Consider the following 24,122-nt stretch of genomic DNA (forward strand, 5'->3'; position numbering starts at 1 on the left):
GTAGGCACCATGTAAGTGCTTGAGAAACATCAGCACAGAAAACAGGCAAAGCTGCAAAATAAGGTGTATGTTTTCAACAAAAGAAAATTTGTAAATCAATAATGATCAAGTAATACAAATGTAAATACAAGGAAAATATTCCTGGTAGATGTTTATCTCCCCAGAGAAGTCAGAGTATTGTTGAGAATTCTATTGGTGGATCACACCTTATTTATTGATGGATCACACCTTATTTTGATAACAATTCTCAGAGCTCTTGGATTCCATGTGCCCTACTCTAAAGAATCTGAGCCCTGAGATGGAAAGCTCTCCTTTCCTGTCCTGACTCAACCATGGGCAATGATCTCTTTTTCCGTGTGCCTTTTGGTCTCCCAGGACCAGGGGAGTTCTGGGCATAGATGGGAAAGCTCTTCCTGGGCTTTCCAGGCCCCAGCCACAGCCTCTCCATCGGGGTGTTCATGGGTCCCCTCCCTGTCTCCACTTCAGATTCTGTATCCATTCTCACTGGAGCATGAGTGTAGGAATTACCCACCCAGGTTACATCAAGATGTGCAGTCACAAAAAGGGATCCTCACACTGAGATGTGTCCTGTATCTGAAATAACAGTAGTACCACTATTGACTAGATGTAAATTTTGCACCACAGCACATTTATGGTTCAATCAATATCCTCCCATTTGTATTTATAAGACCTTCTGAATGGACACAGGGCATTTCCCTATGACCTTAAAGGCACCAGGCTAGTGTACTTCTGGGCAAATATCTCATATACATCCCTAATGAGCTTCCTCTTATTTTTACACAAAAGAAAAAAAGGAGGGTGGGTTTTCCCCACATAGTCCATCCACTCACAAGCCAATCTCCTGCAGAAATACCCTCACAGATAGACCAAGAAATGCTGTTGTACCAGCTACCTAGGTATGCCCTAGCCTGGTCAGGTTGGCACCTAAAATTAACCATCACAAAACTCATGAGAACACAGAGGTCTGAGTTCTGATGATGAGACTCCTATTAGGTGATGGAGACTCAGGTGGCCTCCCCTAAAACAAAAGGAGAAGTCATATCTGTATTAGTCATACATATGTGTATATGTACATACATGTATGTATTCTGTTGGTTCTGTTTCTCTCTGAGGACGAGGTGGCCTAGATCCTTCCCTTTCTGGGTAAAGGGTGGAAGCAGTGTGGATCATTACTTAGTGTGTTCTGATAGCCATGTGTCACTATGTACTTGTTCTTTGTGTCTTCACATCTCTTCCTGTTGCATTTTAAAGCATTTTCATAGTATGTGGTGTTGCCTAGCAGAGCATTCTCATAGCAAAAAAATGTATATATATATACATATGCATATATATATTCTATTGGTTCTGTTTCTCTGGAGAAACGGTATATATATATATATATATATATATATATATATATATACTCTCCCTGTATATATAGTATATATATATATATATACACTCTCTCTATATATATAGTATATATATATATACTCTCCTATATATAGTATATATATATACACTCTCCTATATATATAGTATATATATATACACTCTCCTATATATATAGTATATATATATACACTCTCCTATATATATAGTATATATATATACACTCTCCTGTATATATAGTATATATATATATACTCTCCTATATATATATATATATATATATATATATATATATATATATATATACACACACACACTATATATATATATGGGAAGAGAGAGAGAGAAAAAGAAAGAAGAGAAGAGAAGAGAAGAGAAGAGAAGAGAAGAGAAGAGAAGAGAAGAGAAGAGAAGGGAAGAGAAGAGAAGGAAAGAGATTAGGGAAATTGGCTCACGTGATTATGAAGGCTGAAAAGTCCCCCAGTATGCCAGCCATCTGCAAGCTGGAGATGAAGCAAAGCCAGTAGCATGACTCAGTCCAAGTTTGAAGCCCTCAGACCACAGAAGCCAATGTTGTGTCTCTCAGCCTGAGACCAAAAGCCTGACAATCCAGGGGATTGCTAGTGCAAGTCCCGGAATCCAAAGGTAGGAGAATCTAGAATTCTGATATCCAAGGGCAGTAGAAGACACATGTCTCATCTCTGAGAGAGAATGCAAATTCACCCTTTCTGTGCCTTTTTGTTTCATCCAGGCCCCCAGCTGACTGGATATTGCCATACACATTGAGAGTAGATCTTTCCCACACAGTTCATCAATTTACAAGCCAGTCTCCTCCAGAAATACCCTCACAGACATACCAAGAAGTGTTGCTGTACCAGCTATCCAGGTATGCCTTAATCTAGTCAGATTAACACCTAAAATTAACCATCAAACTACCAGCGGGAACACACAGAGGTCTGAGCTCTGATGAGGAGGCTCCTGTGAGGTGAACTAATGTGACAGAGCATAAAACAATATACAAATTGTATTGATCCTGACCTTAAGACTTTTTGAAACCTTCCCAGATGTCAGGTGGCTCTTTTAACAGAGGCCAGCACTGTAGGCTGACATCCAGTTATCCAGAGTTTGAGAAAAGATAAAATCTAGTAAAAGGTACTTAGAGGCAAATTTGAGGAGATGAGTTATAAAGGACACCAGACTGCCACGAGAATGTCCCTTAGACTACATAAATATTAGAAACAATTAAAACAGCATACAAATGAGGAATTGTATCCTAATGGGAATAAAATATGCAGAGAGGAATGCATTTTCTTTCTAATAACCTGCAAAGAGCATATGCACTTATGTCTTTAAAAATAGTCTACAAATTATTCCCATTCTGAGCTGTTAAATTGTATATATGTCCTATAAAATATTGTTTTATATACCATAAATTACATATATGTATATATTTGATTTATTTTTTTGGAGAATGTAAGGGGTGTGGCAGGTTAACTTTCCAGCTCAACTATTTGTCAGGGGCACTGATGTCATCGAGTCACTGAGAACCTAAGTTCTATTTCCCCAGGCAGGGCTGGGAGAGATGAGATCCTGGCCTGGACCTGAAATGGGCACAAGGTTGTTCTTCTATGTGGCCCTTTGTCTCCTGTGGACAGGTGAGGGCTGGTCACAGGTGGGCTTCCTTCCCTAGAATTCCCAAGGCCTCAATACAAGTCTTTTTCTTGGGATTACAACATCAGGGTCTGTTGTTTTCTATTACAGGACACATGGATGCTGGAATCACCCAGAGCCCAAGACACAAGGTCACAGAGACAGGAACACCAGTGACTCTGAGATGTCACCAGACTGAGAACCACCGCTATATGTACTGGTATCGACAAGACCCGGGGCATGGGCTGAGGCTGATCCATTACTCATATGGTGTTAAAGATACTGACAAAGGAGAAGTCTCAGATGGCTATAGTGTCTCTAGATCAAAGACAGAGGATTTCCTCCTCACTCTGGAGTCCGCTACCAGCTCCCAGACATCTGTGTACTTCTGTGCCATCAGTGAGTCCACAGTGCTGCATGGCTGCCTCCTCTCTGCACGTAAACAGCAGTTAGAAAGACTGAGGTTGCTCTGTGTCTATCCCCACCCTTGGAAGTCCAGGCCTCCATAGAAGTCAGAGGGCCCTGGCCAGCCTGGAAGCCATAGAGCAGGGGCCTTATGACCCTCAGTGCTGACGTCCATTCCTACCCCAGTCTCAGACCAACTGGAGGTCACCCCAACACACTTAGCTTGCCAAGTCTCTCTTCTGCAGCTCTCTTTTGCTGCTTGCAGAAAGGAAAAGGCATCATTAGTTGAGGTTAGCGATGATTCTCTTAACCCCAAAGCCTGGACTCCCTTCTCTCCCCTGTGGGCTTCAGTGACTTCTTCATCTGCCCCTTTCCCCACGCTCCACTATCCTTCCACTCATAGTCATGAACCTTCACTCCTGACCTCTGTTCCTGGCTGCCTTTCTTCTATGGGCCAATAGCCTCATGGGGCCCTCTATCATTTGCTCTTCACCTACATCTCCATCATCATTTTGCACAAGTCTCCCCTGGCTCTCTCTGCTCCAGCCATGCTCCTTTATGTTCAGTTATTTCCTCATATGTGTTATGCTGTTTCCCACCCTGGGGACGTGTGTTTTTACAAATTATTTCTTCTACACTGAACATATGTTCCTCCCTCTTATTCCTAAGTCTCTACTTCATTTCTTACATGAAAGTATATTTCAGGTACATTTACTCTTAACTATAAACAGAAAAACTTAAATTTCACTAAAAGAAATTAAGGAAAATATTTTTATCCTTTGAGTGAAGACTTTTTTAGTGGAAACACAAAAGAACACATGCCATAAAAAATAATACTGGATGGGCATGGTGGCTCACACCTTTAATTCCAGCACTTTGGGAGGCCTAGGCGGGTGGATCACTTGAGCCCAGGAGTTCAAGACCAGCCTGGGCAACATGGCAAAACCTCGTCTCTACTAAAAACACATAAATTAGCCGGGGGTAGTGGCGTTTGCCTGTAATCTCAGCTACTCTGGAAGCTGAGGCACGAGAATCACTTGAACTTGGGAGGCGGAGGGTGCAGTGAGCCGAGATGGCACCACTGCACTTCAGCCTGGGTGACAGAGCAAAACTCCATCTCAAAAAATAAAACAACAACAACAAACTGACATTAGTTGTATTAATCATGTATCGAAACACATGATAAAAAATGAAAAGTCAAGCCACAGCCTGGAAAAGGCATAAGGAATGCATGCAAATGAGGAAGAATCAGCATGACACCATTTATGTTCACAAAAGTCCCTTGGCTCCCCTACAGTTCCAGGCTTCACATGCAGTTAAAGTGCTGGGAACATATGAAGAGGTTCTGAATAACTGGATGTGTGCAGAACTGATGTGGGCAATCCCAAGTCTGGCCCTTAGAAATAACTTGTGGCAGCCACGCGCGGTGGCTCATGCCTGTAATCCCAGCACTTTGGGAGGCTGAGATGGGCGGATCACAAGGTCAGGAGATTGAGACTATCCTGGCCAACATGGTGAAATCCCGTCTCTGCTAAAAATACAAAAATTAGCTGGATGTGGTGGTGTGTGCCTGTAGTCCCAGCTACTTGGGAGGCTGAGGCAGGAGAATCACTTGAACCCAGGAGGCGGAGACTGCAGTGAGCCAAGATTGCGCTACTGCACTCCAGCCTGGCAACAGTGTGAGATTCTGTCTCAAAAAAAAAAAAAAAAAAAAGAAATAACTTGTGGCACTGTGAAGGGAGTCCTCAAGTAGACACAGAAATTAGCTGCAAAGACTCATGGGATATAGCATACAGTTGCACTTATGGTTAAGATTTATTACAGTGTCATAGTAAATATTCAGCAGCGGATCATATGAAGAAAACACACAGGAGGAATCTAGAGGAGTTCACACATTGGCTTCCTTATGCTCTCTTCCTCCCGGGAGGGGTCACACAGAGCTCACTTCTTCCAGCAACAAAAATGCATTAACACGTGTGCAATGTTTCTGCCTGTGGAGCTCATCAGAGACTCAACACCCCAGAGGCTTTAGTGGAGGCCAGTCATGGAGGCACTCACTGCCTAGTATGAACCCAAAATCCACAGCCCAGAAGGAAATCTGGTATTCAGCACAATACTGTTTGCAATATCAGTCTAGGCACAATGAGCTACTCCTCTCGGTTAGGAGAAACTATGTCAGTGCAGGGCACTGCTCACCAGCCAGCTTCCCAGATGTCAGCCAAATGCCAACCTCACAAGCAGGACTTTCTAAGCACCACAGTCTCAAGCCTGCTGTTGACTGTTTTCTGTACAGATACCCTTCAACTCTTTTGCCATGCCCTAATAAACCTGGGAGCTACGCAATACAGATTGACTAATGATAATATGGAAGCAGCCTGGCTCACTGGGTCATAATTTGGTGAAAAACCATGAAAGAAAGCTACTTATGGCCTGCTGGGCTTTGTGGACATGGGAAGTAAGACTTCATAGAATTAAGCCAATGAGATTTTAAGATTTATTTTTATTTTTTTTTCTGTAGCATAGCTGTTCTTATCTAATAGAGTTAGTATCTACAATGGGTAAAGCATTCTCATAACTTACTAAGACAATCCAATAAAATGGCAATACTTAGTCTAAATAGGCATTTCACAGAAAAGTAAACATAAATTAACACTAACATAAAAATAGGTTCTTGGGCTAGGTGCAGTGGTTCATTCCTGTAATCCCAGCACTTTGGGAGGCTGAGGTGGGCAGATCACTTGAGGTCAGGGGTTCGAGACAAGCCTGGCCAACATGGTGAGACCCCATAGCTATAAAAAATACAAAAAATTAGCCAGTCATGGTGGGATGTGCCTGTGGTCCCAGCAGCTACTCGGGAGACTGAGGCACAAGAATCACTTGAACCTGGGAGGCAGAGGTTGCGGTGAGCCAAGATCACCCCCTGCACTCCAGACTGGGTGACAGAGCAGGACTCCGTCTTAAAAAAAAAAAAAAGAATAGGTTCTTAACCTCACTTAGAATCAGAGTATTCCAATCTGAAACAGTAAATTATGAATGCAAACTTATCAGATTTTGAAGACTGGAAAGTCTTCAAAGAAATGATAGTCCCAAATATGAGAAAAGATGTGGACTAGTGGAACTGTATTATACTACAGAAGAAAATTATAACTGATATGGTTTTGTTCTGTGTCGCCACCCTCATCTCAAATTGTAATCCCCATGTGTCAAGGGAGGGAACTGGTGGGAGGTGATTGGATCATGGGGGTGGTTTTCCCTGTGCCGTTCTCCTAATAGCGAGTGAATTCTCACAGGGCCTGATGGTTTATGAGTGGCAGTTTTCCCTTCTCTTTCTCTGTCCTGCTGCCATGTGAGACGTGCCTTGCTTCCCTTCTCCTTCTGCCATGATTGTAAGTTTCCTGAGGCCTTCTCAGCCATGTGGAACTGTAAGTCAAATAAACCTCTTTCCTTTATAAATTAAATTACCCAGTCCCTGGTATTTCTTCATAGCAGTGTGAAAACAGACTAATACAATAATTATATCAGAAAACCCTTTCTGAGATATATTCTGACAAGCAACATTTTGAAACAAATTAGCAATATAGTTGACCCTCTATATCAGCTGATTTGGAACCCAAGGATACCAAAGGCTGACGGTAAGGAAGGTGGGCACCCTTGGATTAGGATATCAGCAGGGTTTCCTGGAACCAATCCCCTCAGGATACTAAGAGATGACTGTGTGTTTAAATTACTTGAGTTCCTTTCATTGTCTTTAGGGTCCATCATGGAGAATTGAGTTGTCAATATTTATTTTAGCCATTTTGAAGGTTTTAATTGATATTTAAAAATTAACACTTAAAAACTGTGGTTATACATATATGTATAACCATGGTTTTACATATATATATATAATATATAGTATATACATTACCACAGTTTTATATACAAATATAAAATACATATTACCACAGTTTTTAAATGTTAATTTTTAAATGTTTTATATGTACATAAAACATACAATTTTTCACCTTAACAATTTTAAAATATACAATTAAGTGGAATCACGTACATTCACAAGGTTGTAGAACCATCACTGCTGTTTCCAAATGTTTTTCATGATCTCAAAGAGAAACTACACCCATTAAGCAATAACTCCATCTTTCCCATGCTTCTCAGCTTCTGGTAGCCTCTAATCTACCGTTTGTTTATATGAATTTACCAACTCTAGATAGTTAATTGATGGGAAATTATAAAATATATCTCCCTTTGTGTCTGTCTTCTTTCACTTAGCCTAATGCTTTCAAGATTCATCCATATTGTAGCATGTGTCAGAATTTTACTCCTTTATATAGCTGAATAATACTTCATCGTGTGTATAGACCACATTTTGTTTATCTCATCATCAGCTGATGGACTTGTGGGTTGTTTCCACCTTTTGACTATTATAAATAATCTTGCAATAAACACTGGCCTACAAGTATCTGTCTGCTTTCCTGCTTTCAATTATTCTGGGTGTATACCTAGGGGTGGAATTGCTGAGTCACATGGGAATTCTACATTTGACATTTTGAGCAACTGCCCAACAGTGTTTTACAGCAGCCTCAGCATTTTATATTCCCACAACAGTGTAAAAGCCTTCCAGTTTCTTCACAGCCTTGCCAACACTTAATTTCTGTTTTGTTCTTCTTTTTAAAAATTATTACAGCCATGCTGGTAAATGCGAAGTGATACCTCATTGCGGTTTTGATTTACATGTTCCTAATAATTAATGATGTTAAGCATCTTTTTTTGAACTTTTACTTTAAATTTGAAAATTGTATTATGTATACTTCAGGTACATAACATGACATGATGAGATACACACCTATAGGAAAATGGTTACTATAGTGAAACAAATTAATATAGCCATCATCTCACATAGTTACCCATTTACTCCCTGTGGCAATAACAGATATAATTTACTCATTTGGAAAAAATTCTGAATATATGAACTATAGTTTTCATGTGGCACATTAGATCTTTAGACTTCTTCATCCTGCCTATCTGCTATCTTGTATCATTTGGCCTAAATATTCCCATTTCCTATTCCCTCCCCCTGCCATCCTCCCATTAACCACTATTTCATTCTCTCTGTATATTTGAGTTTTTACAAATTTCACATATAAATAATATACACTATTTCTCTGTGTCTGGCTTATTTCACTTAGCCTAATGTCCTCCAGGTTCATCTATGTTTGTTGTGGTAAATGGCAAGATCTCATTTTTTTTTTAGGATCAAATAATACTCCATTGTATATGTATGCCACAGTTTCTTCATCCATTTGTCCATCAGTAGACACTTAGGTTGTTTCCATATCTTGGCTATTGTAAATAATGCTGCAATGAACATGGGAGTGCAGATGTCTCCAAAAGGTGGGATTTCATTTTCTTTGTGTATATACCAAGAAAAGAGATTGCTGGGTCATATAATTCTATTTTTAATTTCTTTAGGAACATCTACACTAATTTTCTTAATGAGTGCATCAATCTACTTTTCCACCAACAGTGTATAAAAGTTCCTTTTTCTCCACACTCTTGCAACTTATCTTTTTAATAATAGCTATCTTAATGGGTGTGAGGTGCTATCTCATAGCAGTTTTGATTTTCACTTTTCTAACATTTAGTGATATTGAACATCTTGGCCATTTTTATGCCTTCTTGGTAGAAATGTCTGTTTAGGTCCTTTGCTCAGTTTAAATAGGGTTATATGTTCTCTTGCCAAAGAGTTGTATGGGGTCTTTATATATTTGGTATATTAATCTCTTATCTGACATATGGTTTGCAAATATTTTTTCCAAATCCATAGGTTGCCTTTTCATGTTGTTGATTGTTTAATTTGCTGTGCAGAAGCTTTTCAGTTTGATTTAGTCCCATTTATTTTTGCTTTTGTAGCCTGAACTTTTTGTATGATATCGAAGAAATCATTGCCAAGGCCAACGTCAAAGAGCTTTTCCAACATGTTGCATGTAATAAACTGAACTTAGATAGAAGACCTAAACATTAGATATTAAGCATCTTTTCATATATTATTGATCATTTGTATATCTTCTTAGGAGGCAATGGCTTTTCTTTTCCAGTTGTTTTTTAGTTTTTCTTTGTCTTTAGATTTTAGTAGTTTTATGATTGTAAGGCTAAATGAGGTTGGGGTTGAACTTCACTTGGGAGATTTGTCGCTGTTAGTGTTTTTAGTGCATATTCTGAAACATTTTTAATAGACTGTACAACAGAGAATAAGTAAATTCATTGACATTACTGGGAAACAGAGTTCTTACAAAGGGAAGAGAGATACAATAAGAAATAGGGAAAGACAAGGAAGAAATCTGCGGTGTTTATTTGAATTGGAGGTATCAATATGAACTTATTATTTAAAAATTATGTATTTCCTAACTCTAACCATACAATATGTAAGAAGCAATATGAAGTCGATGGACAATTGCTTTATTTCTTTGTACTTGTGTTCCCAGTAGTAATGGGCAGAATTATTGCATGTTATTTAATTTCTAAATGTTTCTAAAAGAAACAAAGCAGAAATGGCTTCTTCTAGATCCAGAGCAGGGAAAGTCAAAAACATCTTTTGGCAGAAATCAAGGAAGTTTCATGACCCAGAAAACATAGAAAAAAGCCACAGAACCAGTTTCATGGGGCTCCCAGTAGCCAAACACGAGTATCTAAACATTAGAGCATAATAATGAGGACACTGAATTATAACAAATTTTAAAAATCTATAAGGCTATAATGACAATAAAAAGATGTAGGTAAGAATGTCTTCGTTACAGAATAATGCTAGTTACTAAATTTCATTAGAAAATCAATGTAGCCATTAATGTAGTTACAGACAGAGACCATCAGTTGATGTCAAAACCAACATCTGAAAGGTTATTGGAGACCAAGATATCTATATTGTGTCAAAGTATCACTCCACTAATTGCTTATTAACTATAAAATATAAATGATATCTTTGCAATGGAGAGATCTGATGTCTGTGATGTTAAATTTAGTATCGCCAAAAATGTGTAAAGACAGCATTATATGTTCTTGTAATTGATCGGATGCAATGGGAAACACACATCAACTATGGCATGGTATTTGCCAAAATATTTAACCTCTGATAATGTGGAAATTCTGATTGGGGGTCATTTTACCAGTCAGCTGACATGGACTCTTACAAAAATCAAGACCATGAAAGTTGGAAAATATAAGTGGGCCAAAGAGATGTCTAGTTTAAAAGTAGCTAAAAAGACCTGACAACCAAAAGAAATGCATAATCTTTGATAATGTCCTGTAGAAAAAAAATTAAAACCAAAGGACACATTGGTACAACTGGAGAAAGGGGAATGTGAAGCATATATGAGAAAATAATGTTATATGAATATTAAGTTTTTGAGTGTAATAAAGGCATTTGTGGTTTTCTAAGATAATGGCCTCTTTTTAGGAGAGACATACTGAATCGTTAAGAATAAAGTGTTTTATTTCAGAAATTGAGGGTAAAATACACAAAAAGAGATAAAGCAAATGTCAAAAGATGTTAATAATTGAAATACATTTTAATATTCTCTTTGTTGTATGATTCAGCTCTTCCAAAAGTGTCAGTTTTTTAAACAAAATTAGAAGAAAAAAATCTTAAGATCTTGAAATGTTGGCATGATTTCAGTTTTGTGGTGGCTATTTATTATATTCATTTTCAATATCTTTGAAATATTCTATAATTACCATAAAACAAACACACAAGATAAGGTTTCTTTTAGCCCTATAGTGTACTTTTTCTATAGGGACAGGCTATGATTTTTAAAAGTCCCCCCAAAAGATAAGAGAATTTATAGTCTGAGGACAAAATAGCTGATATCTCTGAGATGAGCACAAAACTTAGCTAACAATGCATGTCAAGAAGCTGTTTAGTAAATACACAGGACTGTTTTAACTGAAACAGGAGATTCTGAGTTCCCTACAGGTTGGTCAAGAACTCACAGATGTTGGGGAATTGCCTGAATGTAAGCAGAGGAGTGGTAGTGCTTGTCCTAAATTGTGGTTGGATAATATGTGTTTGTGTAACAGGGAGGGGGCTCTAGCAGGACTGAAACACTGTCTGTGGGGAGGAGTCTCTAGCAGGACAGAAGGATCACATGGAGCTGGAATGAATTCCCTTCAGTCCCCCACAAACACTGTCTGATAGTAGCCCTGATCTAATTTCCATTGTTTAGAAGTCCCACCACTCTCCCTGAGCCATGGCTGGAGGGCCTAAGCCCAGTGGCTCTGAACCATTGGCCATCAGGAGGCACTGAGGTTTGATGGCGTCCAAATGTTTTTGAAACAGGGCTAAGTATTGCCTGAGAAGTTGAGTTTAAAGGAAAAGTGTGGCTTCATCCTAGCATTCAGTATCTAGTTTGCAGGTGTTTTGAGTGGTCAATGGAAACTCATCTTTCTCCACTGATGCCAGTGGGTTCTGTTCGGCAGTGAAATCTGAACTGTAGCAAACCATTGAGTGGAGAATCTTCTGAGCCCACTTGAGGGGTAGATGGAGGAGAGCCAGGAGCCAACCTGAATGCTCACAGACCCATGCAGAGGAACAAGTGCCTCCTTGGGAGAACATCAGAGAAACCTTAGCACCTAACCTATTCTAGTGTGTCCTGGACGATGGACAGGAGAATGTAAGGGGAATGTAGAAGATGGGAGTGGACAACTGTAGATGTTTCCAGATATCTCAAATTGCAGTAACACCACAAATATTCTTAACAAGAACCAGATTTTCCAGAACTCTGGCATTTCCTTCCCTGAGCAATGAGACGGCCCTTTGGGCCCTGACACAATCATGGGTGTTTTTTGTTCATTTGTTTTGGTGCTCAGGAAGCAGGGGAGGCATGAGAATACCTGGGGAATGTCTTTCCTAGAAATAGGATGCCCCAATTTCAAGTATTTCACATGCAGCTTGATAGGTCCTGTCTCCAGCCACCCAGCCTCCACTCTCTCAATGCTGTTGTCATCCAGGGCCCTAAGCTCTGGTCACACGGATGGAAGAGGTAGTGACACTGTGATGTGAAGACACTTTCCACCATGAAATTATTAATTGGTGTCAATATAAGGCAGGCTCCGACTAGCAGCTTTTCTACCACAATGATAGACAATTTATATGGAAAAGAGATGGTTCTGATAATTCTACACTCACAGGTCTTCACCTGATAACCTTGACATGTGTCCCCTAGGTTTTAGGAACTTGGATTTCTTTAGGCTGAGTTGTACTATTCCCTTTCTCTGAACACACATGTCATTGGTTAGTTCATTCATATTGATTCTCAGGACTTCTCCAATCCCTCAAGCCTTCCCACTCTACCACTCAGATAAGGAGAAGTGTGTCTTAACTAATGTTGCATAATTTTTTAAAAATTGCTGGATACTAACACTGCAATTCAATTGTAAAATATGATAGAGGTGTAAGTGTTTTAGATCCCAGAAGTCCTGCTCAATTTTGCATTTATTGTTAGATATTCACCCTGATATTTTCAGGAATTAGAGTGTTCTTCATCCATTTGGGTTAAGATATCAGAACTTACTTTCAATTCATTGGTGACCAGAGACTACAGGCAGAATCATAGTGAAGGCTTGATACATAATACATAATGAAGATTGATAACAGCAAAAAGGGAACTAGTCATTGGCCTTCAGATAAAATGAAACCTCCCAACTTTGTGCTCAGGGAATTATTTTACCCCTTTAGGTTAGAGTATGTCAGCTAGTTCAATGCAGTTCTAGGATAAAGCTGTGTCAATTACCCTAGAGGACTGGGAGCATGGAGGACCTGGTAGAAAAGAAATACCCAAAGAGAAGGAAAATTACACATAAAATCAAGAGGTCACTAATTGATATATCTATTTTGAGTTGCCTTTGAGACTTCCACGTAGAAACATCTAGCACAGGATAGGCCTAGAGATGTAGTGACAGATCTAATCCCCCAAGCCCTGAATATGTGAGTGAGGACGCTTGGATGAACTTCCAGTCTATGAATACATTAAACAAACTTTTAGCTCTGTTTTAGTTTACAACAACTGTTTTCTAAGAACTTAAGCATTTGTGGAGACAATGATGTCACTGTAGGAACTTCTCTGTAAGGACAGCAACATCCCACTTCCTCTGCTCCTGCTCACAGTGACCCTGATCTGGCAAAGCTTCCATCCTGCCCTGACCCTGCCATGGGTACCAGGCTCCTCTGCTGGGTGGCCTTCTGTCTCCTGGTGGAAGGTGAGTCCTAGGAACACCATGATCCTCACATAATCTCCCAGTGATTATTCTAGTCATTTCCTTCTATTTTAAAATTCTTTTTCCCCCACAGAACTCATAGAAGCTGGAGTGGTTCAGTCTCCCAGATATAAGATTATAGAGAAAAAACAGCCTGTGGCTTTTTGGTGCAATCCTATTTCTGGCCACAATACCCTTTACTGGTACCTGCAGAACTTGGGACAGGGCCCGGAGCTTCTGATTCGATATGAGAATGAGGAAGCAGTAGACGATTCACAGTTGCCTAAGGATCGATTTTCTGCAGAGAGGCTCAAAGGAGTAGACTCCACTCTCAAGATCCAGCCTGCAGAGCTTGGGGACTCGGCCGTGTATCTCTGTGCCAGCAGCTTAGACACAGTGTAGCAGAGACACTTCCCTCCTGTGCAGAAAACCGCAGGACTCTCTCCTCTCTACTCAGCTCACAGCAGCCTTTCCTTATTCCTCATCCTCCCAGGAAAGAAGTGAGTTTTCAGATATAGCTAGGATTCATATAGTGGGAGGAAATGAACTATTTCTTACAACATGAGCGCTATAATTGTTGCTTGAAAATGTGTCTCAGGGATTTGAAACACTTCTTGGGGACAACTCAAGAAACCTAAAGTGACTTATCAGAGATTGAGTCCTCAGGGGTAGTGATGGTTTATCTCCCATAAAAGTATGTGATCATGAAACATGTACAATAAACTTAATAATACAGATAGTGATTATACCAAGCAGCAAACAGCAGGCTCCCCTTATGTAGTTGTCAGCATGTGAATGACTTGTTACCCTTAGTGACACCCCGGCTGTCTAGCAAAGTCTCAACACACAGTATGTGTTTGGAAATCTTTTTCCTTCTGTTTTATTTTTGGTAAAGTATGCTAATAATGATGTTGTTAATGATAGTGATTATAATTTCAGGTATGTTATTCAGCCCTTTTTCCAGTTCAAAGAAATGCACACAAATGGATACCCCGGCAACCAGGTGCAAATCTTAGCTCCACATGAATTCTACTTCTCCTGAACTCTCTAACTCTTCTATGTAATCATCCCAGCCCAAGAATATATCTAGACCTGGACCAGTCAGTTCAGAGGACATTTCTACGTGTCTGCCTTGTATATTAAAAGTTCCTTAGTGGATTGAAATATTCCTTGTAAGAACTTCTGAAGCAATCAATTGCCCTCTCTGATAATATACACTCTGTGTGTCTAGCTCCATATTCATTACTCTACTTCTGCCTAAACTCTCTAATACTAGAAATCTTTCTGAAGTATTGGTTAGAATTACTTAAAAAGCAGCATACTGGAAATTGTCTGAAAGCACTGTCACTGTCCATTTGCCCCTCCTGACTTCCCTCCCCTCCTTATCCAATCTAATACCTGATGGCAAGTCAGGCTTTATTTCCATTTGTTCATTGCACATCTCCCTGTCCTTTATTCCTGTAATAAAACCTCACTGATGTGATGGATTAAAATGACCACTCACTCACCATCTCCTTGTCAAAATTTCTATTTTTTTCTTTTCCCAATCTGCTATGTTAGTTATAGTTAATAACTCCCTCATAACATTTTCTGAGATCACTTTTTATTATTTGAATATAGGACACACAGTTGTTTCAGAGTCTGTCTGATCATTTTCACCTCTAAGATCTTCATAGGATATTTTTGTGATTTTCTTTTTGTGCTGCTTCTCAGTTATGGTGCTTGAGTTTTCATGGCATTTGTATTTCTCCTTACCAATCTGATGATGTTTGACACTTTGCCAAACACTATAGTTGTAGAAATAATTTTGGGGGTAGGATGGATATTTTTCTGCAGAGATCATTTTTCTGTGCTTCTGAAAGTGCATGTAGATATAAACAGTCAGGCTCCCTGAATCACAGTTTAAGGCTTGAGGTGTCCTGGAGCATCTGGAGAACAGGTTTGTCTCTGGCTTATTGTTACTAGTGGAATTTGGCAATGACACGTTCGGTATGTTCTGGGCTTTGCCTTTACCCCCGTGGCCTGTGAGTCAGCTTCCTGAGTGCTGAGTCAGGATCTGCAAATGCCCGCTAGGGCAAATGGACTGCTGTGCTCACCTCCCGGAGCTCTTGCCCTCACCAACATTCCAGCCAAATTATTATTATTTTTTTAGGACTTTAACTAAAATTTTTAATGTTGTTTTTGATATTTTTTTTCCAACTATGTAGATAACAACAGAAAGAGTGAGTGCCATTATCCTTAATTATTGGGATTAAGGTGAAAATAACTTTACCTGGAATTCTAATTTTCCTTGTATTTTAATGTTAGATTCTTTGTGATTTGTCTAATATTCAACTTAAATGGTATAGAGATGTTAAACTCTGATATCAAATACTTTAAAAAAACTTATCAAGACCATTCATAATCCAATTGAGACATATCTTTGTTTGGGGCATGTTGTTTTTAGAGTATTCTTCTACTGTTATTTATTTCTATCACATAACCTCTGTGTTCCATTGGACCATATGGCAAGATGGGAAAGACAATCAAGAGAATGCTGAGATCTGGTCAAATAGTACAGATTGGGCTTCAAATTAATTTAATTACTGAGTTCTGGGGGTGGATTTGTGCTGTTTTATGAGTATTTCCTGGGGCAATGGTCAAAATTAGAGGGAGTAACTGATATGTGGCTATTGTTTTACCCCGTTTAAAGCCAATCTCCTGGGACAACACACCCCATTTTGTGGGGCACCCCGAAAGTAATAATCCTGTTTTAATCTTCCTATTCCTTGCCAAATCTTCTCTACAGAAGGGAAATCAGTTATACTATTTCCTCTCTTCATTTTAGTTTAGTCTCTCCTTATTTTCCCGTTTTCCTCCTGGTTCCCTAGAGAAAAGTAGATTATTTTCAACATGTGCTAAGATCAGTGAGGAACTCTCTCTTCCATGCAGGGTGGCCTGCAGTTTGGAGGGGATAGGGAATGGGTTAAATTCTGTTTCAGCATCATGTTAGCCAGCCCATCGAGTTTCACAATGAGACCTGCTGCTTATCAGTATTAAAACTGACATTATGTTTCCACCTTTCTGACTGCATTGTCAATGTCTGGGGTGTTTCTGTCCTACCCCATAGCACTAATATTATTTGTTGGCCTTTTAACACCAACTAATCATAATATCCTATATCCCTTGTACTCAGTGAAATAAAGCTCAAGTCCCTGTGTCCTGGCAAAAGAGAGCACATTTGTGCTGTTCTGGCCTACTGGCCACTAGGAGGCACTGTGGCTTCGATGTCATCCAGAGTCTATGGGGAGGAGCTGAGATTGCTCCCTGGAAGATGGTTAAGAATAACCCCGAGGTTGGACCTAAATTCAGGGAGTTGGTTTGCAGATGTCTTGAATGATGGCTGGGAATAAAGGAATTAGTAACCGACGCTTCCTCCATTGTAGAGGTGGGTTTTGCTTTAAATTGTGCTTTGAGTGGGGCTGAGTGACAGGTGTACTTTGCAGTGCATATACCTCTGAGCTCGCTTAAGATGTAGGGGCACAAGGAGCTGAGGTGGTGCAGGGCCCATGTTCTGAGCTTGGAAAACCAGAGAAGCAGTTCTTGTGTCAAAAGAGCCTTGGAGAGCCTGGCCCCAAACCAGCCCAGGCCAACCCTACCTGCTCTGTGAGAGTAGAACAGCAAGAAAGGGAGGTGCTACCCAGGACCACAGCAGAGGGACCCTGTCGCCAGGGAGATGAAAATCACAGTGATGCCACGACCATATCCACGTATGAGGCATAGTCCAGTGTGTCTCCTGGAAGAAGATGAAGCCTGGGCAGACATAAGAATATGTTTTTGAATAGGCTTCCCTTGGCCTGATTTTAAATTCCTTCCATGTGATCATGCATCTGTCTGTACCTGTATTTTGTACCCGGCTTCTGCCTCTCACCCATCAGTCCCATGGCTACTAGAAGGTATTAAATTTCTATTGACAAAAATTACCACTAATTTGGTGGCTTACAACAATAAAAATTTATTATCTTACAGTTCTGGAGGTTAGAAGTCCAAAACCAGGCTAAAATCCAGGTATTGGCAGGGCTACATTCCTTCCCGAGGCTCTCAGGGAGAACTATTTTTCTCTCCTATTCAGCTTCTAGAGGCCACCAGTGTTCCTTGGCTCATGGCCCCATTCAATCTTCAAAGCCAACAAGGACTGGGTGAGCCTTTGCTCACTCTGCATCACTCTGACACTCACTCTTCATCCTCCCTCTTCCACATTTTAGGACCCTTGTGATTACATTGGGCCCATCTGGAAAATCCAGGACACGCTCCCCATATTAAGGCCAGCTGATTAGCAACCTTCATTCCATTTGGAACATTCGTTTCTCCCCTTGCCACATAATTTAACACATTCCCAGTTTCTGGGAATTAGACATGTACATCTTTGAGAGGTCGTCACGCTGCCTGCCACACTTGCTACCTGGTTACACGAAGTAGTAAGCAATTAACTTTTTGAAGGCAGAATTATGGCCATAGTTTTATATCCTGGATCCAACAGACCCTGCAAAAGGATAGAGCCCACATGGAAATAGCCCCTCCAGTAACACAAGCTAGTCTGCAAACTAATGCCCTTTTACTTTGGGAAGTGCTTTTGACTGCAGGGGACTCAGAAGCATGCCTCTGTGCCAACAGCAAAAATGTGCCCTTCTCTTTTGTTGGCAAGTAACTTAACCAACCAACCCAAAAAAAAGATCTTTCTCTCAGCTTTCCATAATCTCTGAGACGAAGTAGGTTTGGAGAAGTGGGGTTACAGGGGAAAAAGCCAGGTGTTAATGATGAAAAAACATTGAACTTTTCTAGGGGTAGTAATAAGATTTAATTCAAGACTAGAACATTTTAGCTGCAAATCTTCAAGAATAAGACAATATTATCCCCTTTCTGTTTTATTGTGGGACTAGAGAATGTGAGAGAGGTTACATTCCATGGGCTTTGGGAATTTAATATGGTTCAAGGATAAACACACCCAGGTTTTTCACTGCAGAGAAGAGCTTCAAATATAATCAGTTTTCAGGTCATCAGCTCAGCTCTTGTATCCCTAACAATGCAGTTGACATGCGTCTTCTCAGATGTCTAACTCCTAACTCACTGAGGGATACTTTAAGTACATATAAAGGACTAGAAGCACCAAGCTACCAGTGAGAGGAAGAGGAGAGTTTGCAGAGAAGCTGGCTTGAAATAAGACAATGAGTTCATCTTTAAATACTTGCCATTTGAGGTGCAGATGGATATAGTTGGCAGGCTCCTATGTAAGGCATGTTATGGAGAAGCTACCGTGAATTGATAATATCAAAACAAATATCCAGGGAGCCTCTGCAAGTGTGCATCTCTATTTCACACCAATTATAGTTGAGTTAATTCCTGCCTGATTCATCTCCCAGAGATGCAGCCTCCTCTTAAAGAAGTTGGGGGTGGTGGCCCATTCAGTGATGTCACTGACAGATGCATTCTGTGGGGATAAAATGTCACAAAATTCATTTCTTTGCTCATGCTCACAGAGGGCCTGGTCTAGAATATTCCACATCTGCTCTCACTCTGCCATGGACTCCTGGACCTTCTGCTGTGTGTCCCTTTGCATCCTGGTAGCGAGTGAGTCTTCAGAATATTTGCCATCATCAGGCTGGGCTTCTGCATGGATGATCTCATATATTTTCCTTATTCTGACGCCCAATTCTGTCTTCTTTCATAGAGCATACAGATGCTGGAGTTATCCAGTCACCCCGCCATGAGGTGACAGAGATGGGACAAGAAGTGACTCTGAGATGTAAACCAATTTCAGGCCACAACTCCCTTTTCTGGTACAGACAGACCATGATGCGGGGACTGGAGTTGCTCATTTACTTTAACAACAACGTTCCGATAGATGATTCAGGGATGCCCGAGGATCGATTCTCAGCTAAGATGCCTAATGCATCATTCTCCACTCTGAAGATCCAGCCCTCAGAACCCAGGGACTCAGCTGTGTACTTCTGTGCCAGCAGTTTAGCCACAGCGCTGCAGAATCACCCCTTTCCTGTGCAGAAAACCCGGTGTTTCCCCTTCTCCTTCTACCTCCCAGCAGTCCTGGGCAAAGTCTCTGCTGTTCCTCCCTCCCTATGAGAAAAAAGTGGTTTGGGGGTATGAAAAAGACAGAAAATGAGAAGGGATCAACATAGGAAACCTTATGTTGGTTTGAGGATTACAAAATGGGTTTTGAGGATTCCTTAAAAATTGTCTCTGCTCAAAACACATAGGAGTAAGATAAACCTTGGCTACTGACACTGGAGATTTCCCTGCCCTCCTGCATTTGCCATCCCATGAGAATGGTGGGGGCTCTTGAGAAGGGCTGCATTTTCTGAACTGTGAGGCCCTCTTCATTCTCTCCTAACTCTAAGCTGCAAACAGAAATTTCCCTCACACGTTTTCTAGATTGTAAAAGAAAGTTCTTCTTTACTATGATTGTGGACGTTCCTTTATAATGCCAATTTCAACTTTACATTACTTCAGGATTTTTCACTACTCCTAAAGAGTGTCTCAAATGTGGCTAGAGCAAGCAGGTTAGTACACTAGATGTAAGCTACCTGGCCTGGAATCTAAGGATCCATTTGTCTCTGTTCTGCGTAAGATGAGCCGGGTGCTGGCCAAAGGCTGTGCACACTCACAGAGCACTGATGACGCCTCCTGGTAAGGACCCACACTGGGGTATCTAAAAGCAGACAGGCATGTCCAGTCTTCTGTTGCCCTGTTTCCTTTCTGATTATATGTCCTTAACACACAAATTTACATTTTCCTTCTTATTTATATGAGAAGTTTCTATACAATACCTGCAATCCATTCTGAGTGGTTATAATTTCTGTGTGATATTCATATTTACATGCTGATTCCTTCTAAATACCTATCATGGTATCATTGACAACTGAGGCAAAAGACCCCTATATTTTGAGTGCCCAAGGCCATTGAGGTTTTTTGGAGCTCTGCCATAAGCCCAATTCCACTGTGTCATTTTCCTATTTTTCTTTCCTTTTTTTTTTTTTGATTAGTGGGTCCTGACTTTCAAGATGAAAATAGTGCAGAATTCCTCCCTGCTGCTTCCAGATCATTTTCCTTCCTACTTCTCTAAAGCCCAGCTGCATTATAGGCTTCCTTTAGCCTGATTTTAAATTCCTTCCATGTGATCATGCATCTGTCTCTACCTGTATCTTGTATCTGGCTTCTGCCTCTTACCCATCAATCCCATGGCTACTAGAAGGTATTCAATCTCTGTTGACACAAATTACTACTAACTTGGTGGTTTACAACAAAAACTAATTATCTTACAGTTCTGCAGGTCAGAAGTCCAAAACCGGGATAAAATCCAGGTGTTGGCAGGGCTGCATTCCATCCTGAGGCTCTCGGGGAGAACTGTTTTTCTCTCCTTTTCAACTTCTAGAGGCCACCAGTGTTCCTTGGCTCATGGCCCCATTCGATCTTCAAAGTCAACAAGGACTGGCTGAGCCTTTGCTCACTCTGCATCACTCTGACACTCACTCTTCGTCCCCCCTCTTCCACATTTTAGGACACTTGTGATTACATTGGGCCCACCTGGAAAATCCAGGATACACTCCCTATATTAAGGCCAGCTGACTAGCAACCTTCATTCCATTTGGAACATTCCTTTCTCCCCTTGCCACATAATTTAACACATTCCCAGTTTCTGGGAATTAGACATGGACATCTTTGGGAGGTTGTCATGCTGCCTGCCACACTTGGTACCTGGTTACAGGGAGTGGTAAGTAATTAAATTTTTTAAAACAGAATTATGACCACAGTTTTGTATCCTGGGTCCAACAGACCCTGCAAAAGGATAGAGCCCAAAGGGAAATAGGCCCCTCCAGAAACACAAGCTAGTCTGCAAACTAATGCCCTTTAACATTGGCAAGTGCTTTCAACTGCATGGGACTCAGAAGCATGCCTCTGTGCCAAGAGCAAAAATATGCCCTTTTATGGCAAGTAAGTTAATTGATCAACTCAAAAAACAAACATTTCTCTCAGCTTTCCAGAACCTCTGAGAGGAAGTAGGTTTGGAGAAGTGGGATTAAGGGGTTGGCAGGGGGCCGGAGGAAAGGTCAGGTGTTAATGATGAAAAAACATTGAACTTTTCTTTTCTAGGGGTAGTAATAAGATATAATTCAAGACTAGAACATTGTAGCTGCAAATCTTCAAAATAAGACAATCTTATCCTCTGTTTTATTGTGGGAATAGAGAATGGAGAGAAGTTCCATTCCACGGGCTTTGGGAATTCAATATGGTTCAAGGATAAATAAACCCAGGTTTTTTCTACTGCAGAGAAGAGCTTCAAATATAATCAGTTCTCAGGGCATCAGCTCAGTTCCTCTATCCCTAACAATGCAGTTGACATGCATCTTCTCAGATGCCTAACTCCTAACTCGCTGATGGATAATTTAGGTACACATAGAGGACTAGAAACACCAAGCCACCAGTGAGAGGAAGAGGAGAGTTTGCAGAGAAGCTGGCTTGCAATAAGACAATGAGTTCATCTTTAATTACCTGCAATTTGAGGAGATATATATAGTTGGCAAGCTCCTAGGTAAGGCATGTTATGGAGAAGCTACCGTGAATTGATAATATCAAAATAAATCTTAAGGGAGCCTCTGCATGTGTGCATTTGTATCTCAGATCTGCTATAGTTGAGTTAATTCCTGCCTGATTCATCTCCCAGAGATGCAGCCTCCTCTTAAAGTTGGGGGTGGTGGCCCATTCAGTGATGTCACTGACAGATGCATTCTGTGGGGATAAAATGTCACAAAATTCATTTCTTTGCTCATGTTCACAGAGGGCCTGGTCTGGAATATTCCACATCTGCTCTCACTCTGCCATGGGCTCCTGGACCCTCTGCTGTGTGTCCCTTTGCATCCTGGTAGCAAGTGAGTCTTCAGAACATTTACCATCATCAGGCTGGGCTTCTGCATGGATGATCTCATATATTTTCCTTATTCTGACGCCCAATTCTGTCTTCCTTCATAGAGCACACAGATGCTGGAGTTATCCAGTCACCCCGGCACGAGGTGACAGAGATGGGACAAGAAGTGACTCTGAGATGTAAACCAATTTCAGGACACGACTACCTTTTCTGGTACAGACAGACCATGATGCGGGGACTGGAGTTGCTCATTTACTTTAACAACAACGTTCCGATAGATGATTCAGGGATGCCCGAGGATCGATTCTCAGCTAAGATGCCTAATGCATCATTCTCCACTCTGAAGATCCAGCCCTCAGAACCCAGGGACTCAGCTGTGTACTTCTGTGCCAGCAGTTTAGCCACAGCGCTGCAGAATCACCCCTTTCCTGTGCAGAAACCCTGGTGTTTCTCCTTCTCCTTCTACCTCCCAGCAGTCCTGGGCAAAGTCTTTCCTGTTCCTCCCTCCCCATGAGAAAAAGTGGTTTTGGGTTGTGACAAAGACAGAAAATGAGGTTTCAACATAGGAAACCTTATGTTGATTTGAGGATTATGAAATGGGTTTTGAGGATTCCTTAAAAAATTGTCTCTGCTCAAAACACATAGGAGTAAGATAAACCTTGGCTACTGACACTGGAGATTTCCCTGCCCTCCTGCATTTGCCATCCCATGAGAATGGTGGGAGCTCCCGAGAAAGGCTGCATTTTCTGAACTGTGAGGCCCTCTTCATTCTCTCCTAACTCTAAGCTGCAAACAGAAATTTCCCTCACACGTTTTCTAGATTGTAAAAGAAAGTTCTTCTTTACTATGATTGTGGACATTCCTTTATAATGCCAATTTCAACTTTACATTTACTTCAGGATTTTTCACTACTCCTAAAGAGTGTCTCAAATGTGGCTAGAGCAAGCAGGTTAGTACACTAGATGTAAGCTACCTGGCCTGGAATCTAAGGATCCATTTGTCTCTGTTCTGCGTAAGATGAGCCGGGTGCTGGCCAAAGGCTTTGCACACTCACAGAGCACTGATGACGCCTCCTGGTAAGGACCCACACTGGGGTATCTAAAAGCAGACAGGCATGTCCAGTCTTCTGTTGCCCTGTTTCCTTTCTGATTACATGTCCTTAACACACAAATTTACATTTTTCTTCTTATTTATATGAGAAGTTTCTATACAATACCTGCAATCCATTCTGAGTGGTTATAATTTCTGTGTGATATTCATATTTACATACTGATTCCTTCTAAATCCCTATCATGGTATCATTGACAAGTGAGGCGAATGATCCCTGTATTTTGAGTGCCCAAGGCACTTGAGGTTTTTTGGAGTTCTGCCATATGCCAAATTCCACTTTGTCATTTTCCCATTTTTTTTTTTTTTTTACGTGTAGGGATCCTGACTTTTAAGATGGAAATAGTGCAGAATTCCTCCCTGTGCTTCCAGATCATTTTCTCCCTCCTACTTTAAAGCCCAGCTGCTT

General features: G+C 40.7%; 4 gene segments (V, D, J or C) and 1 further gene, besides 12 other annotated features; all 5 read left to right on the forward strand.

The window, feature by feature from the left end:
* TRB (T cell receptor beta locus) overlaps nucleotides 1-24,122 on the forward strand; it is a 514,277-nt gene that overhangs the window by 242,227 nt on the left and 247,928 nt on the right.
* TRBV10-3 (T cell receptor beta variable 10-3) lies at nucleotides 2,999-3,448 on the forward strand. The segment is given in 2 exon segments: nucleotides 2,999-3,047; nucleotides 3,154-3,448. Coding segments are annotated over 2 exon segments (344 nt in total), but the record flags the coding sequence as incomplete, so codon positions are not given.
* Nucleotides 3,449-3,455: a recombination feature (RSS_heptamer).
* Nucleotides 3,456-3,478: a recombination feature (RSS_spacer).
* Nucleotides 3,479-3,487: a recombination feature (RSS_nonamer).
* On the forward strand, nucleotides 13,644-14,081 carry TRBV11-3 (T cell receptor beta variable 11-3). The segment is given in 2 exon segments: nucleotides 13,644-13,692; nucleotides 13,784-14,081. Coding segments are annotated over 2 exon segments (347 nt in total), but the record flags the coding sequence as incomplete, so codon positions are not given.
* Nucleotides 14,082-14,088: a recombination feature (RSS_heptamer).
* Nucleotides 14,089-14,111: a recombination feature (RSS_spacer).
* Nucleotides 14,112-14,120: a recombination feature (RSS_nonamer).
* TRBV12-3 (T cell receptor beta variable 12-3) lies at nucleotides 19,248-19,694 on the forward strand. The segment is given in 2 exon segments: nucleotides 19,248-19,296; nucleotides 19,397-19,694. Coding segments are annotated over 2 exon segments (347 nt in total), but the record flags the coding sequence as incomplete, so codon positions are not given.
* Nucleotides 19,695-19,701: a recombination feature (RSS_heptamer).
* Nucleotides 19,702-19,724: a recombination feature (RSS_spacer).
* Nucleotides 19,725-19,733: a recombination feature (RSS_nonamer).
* Nucleotides 22,562-23,008, forward strand: TRBV12-4 (T cell receptor beta variable 12-4). The segment is given in 2 exon segments: nucleotides 22,562-22,610; nucleotides 22,711-23,008. Coding segments are annotated over 2 exon segments (347 nt in total), but the record flags the coding sequence as incomplete, so codon positions are not given.
* Nucleotides 23,009-23,015: a recombination feature (RSS_heptamer).
* Nucleotides 23,016-23,038: a recombination feature (RSS_spacer).
* Nucleotides 23,039-23,047: a recombination feature (RSS_nonamer).

Source organism: Homo sapiens, chromosome 7, assembly GCF_000001405.40.
Source record: "Homo sapiens chromosome 7, GRCh38.p14 Primary Assembly".
NCBI classification, from domain to species: domain Eukaryota; kingdom Metazoa; phylum Chordata; class Mammalia; order Primates; family Hominidae; genus Homo; species Homo sapiens.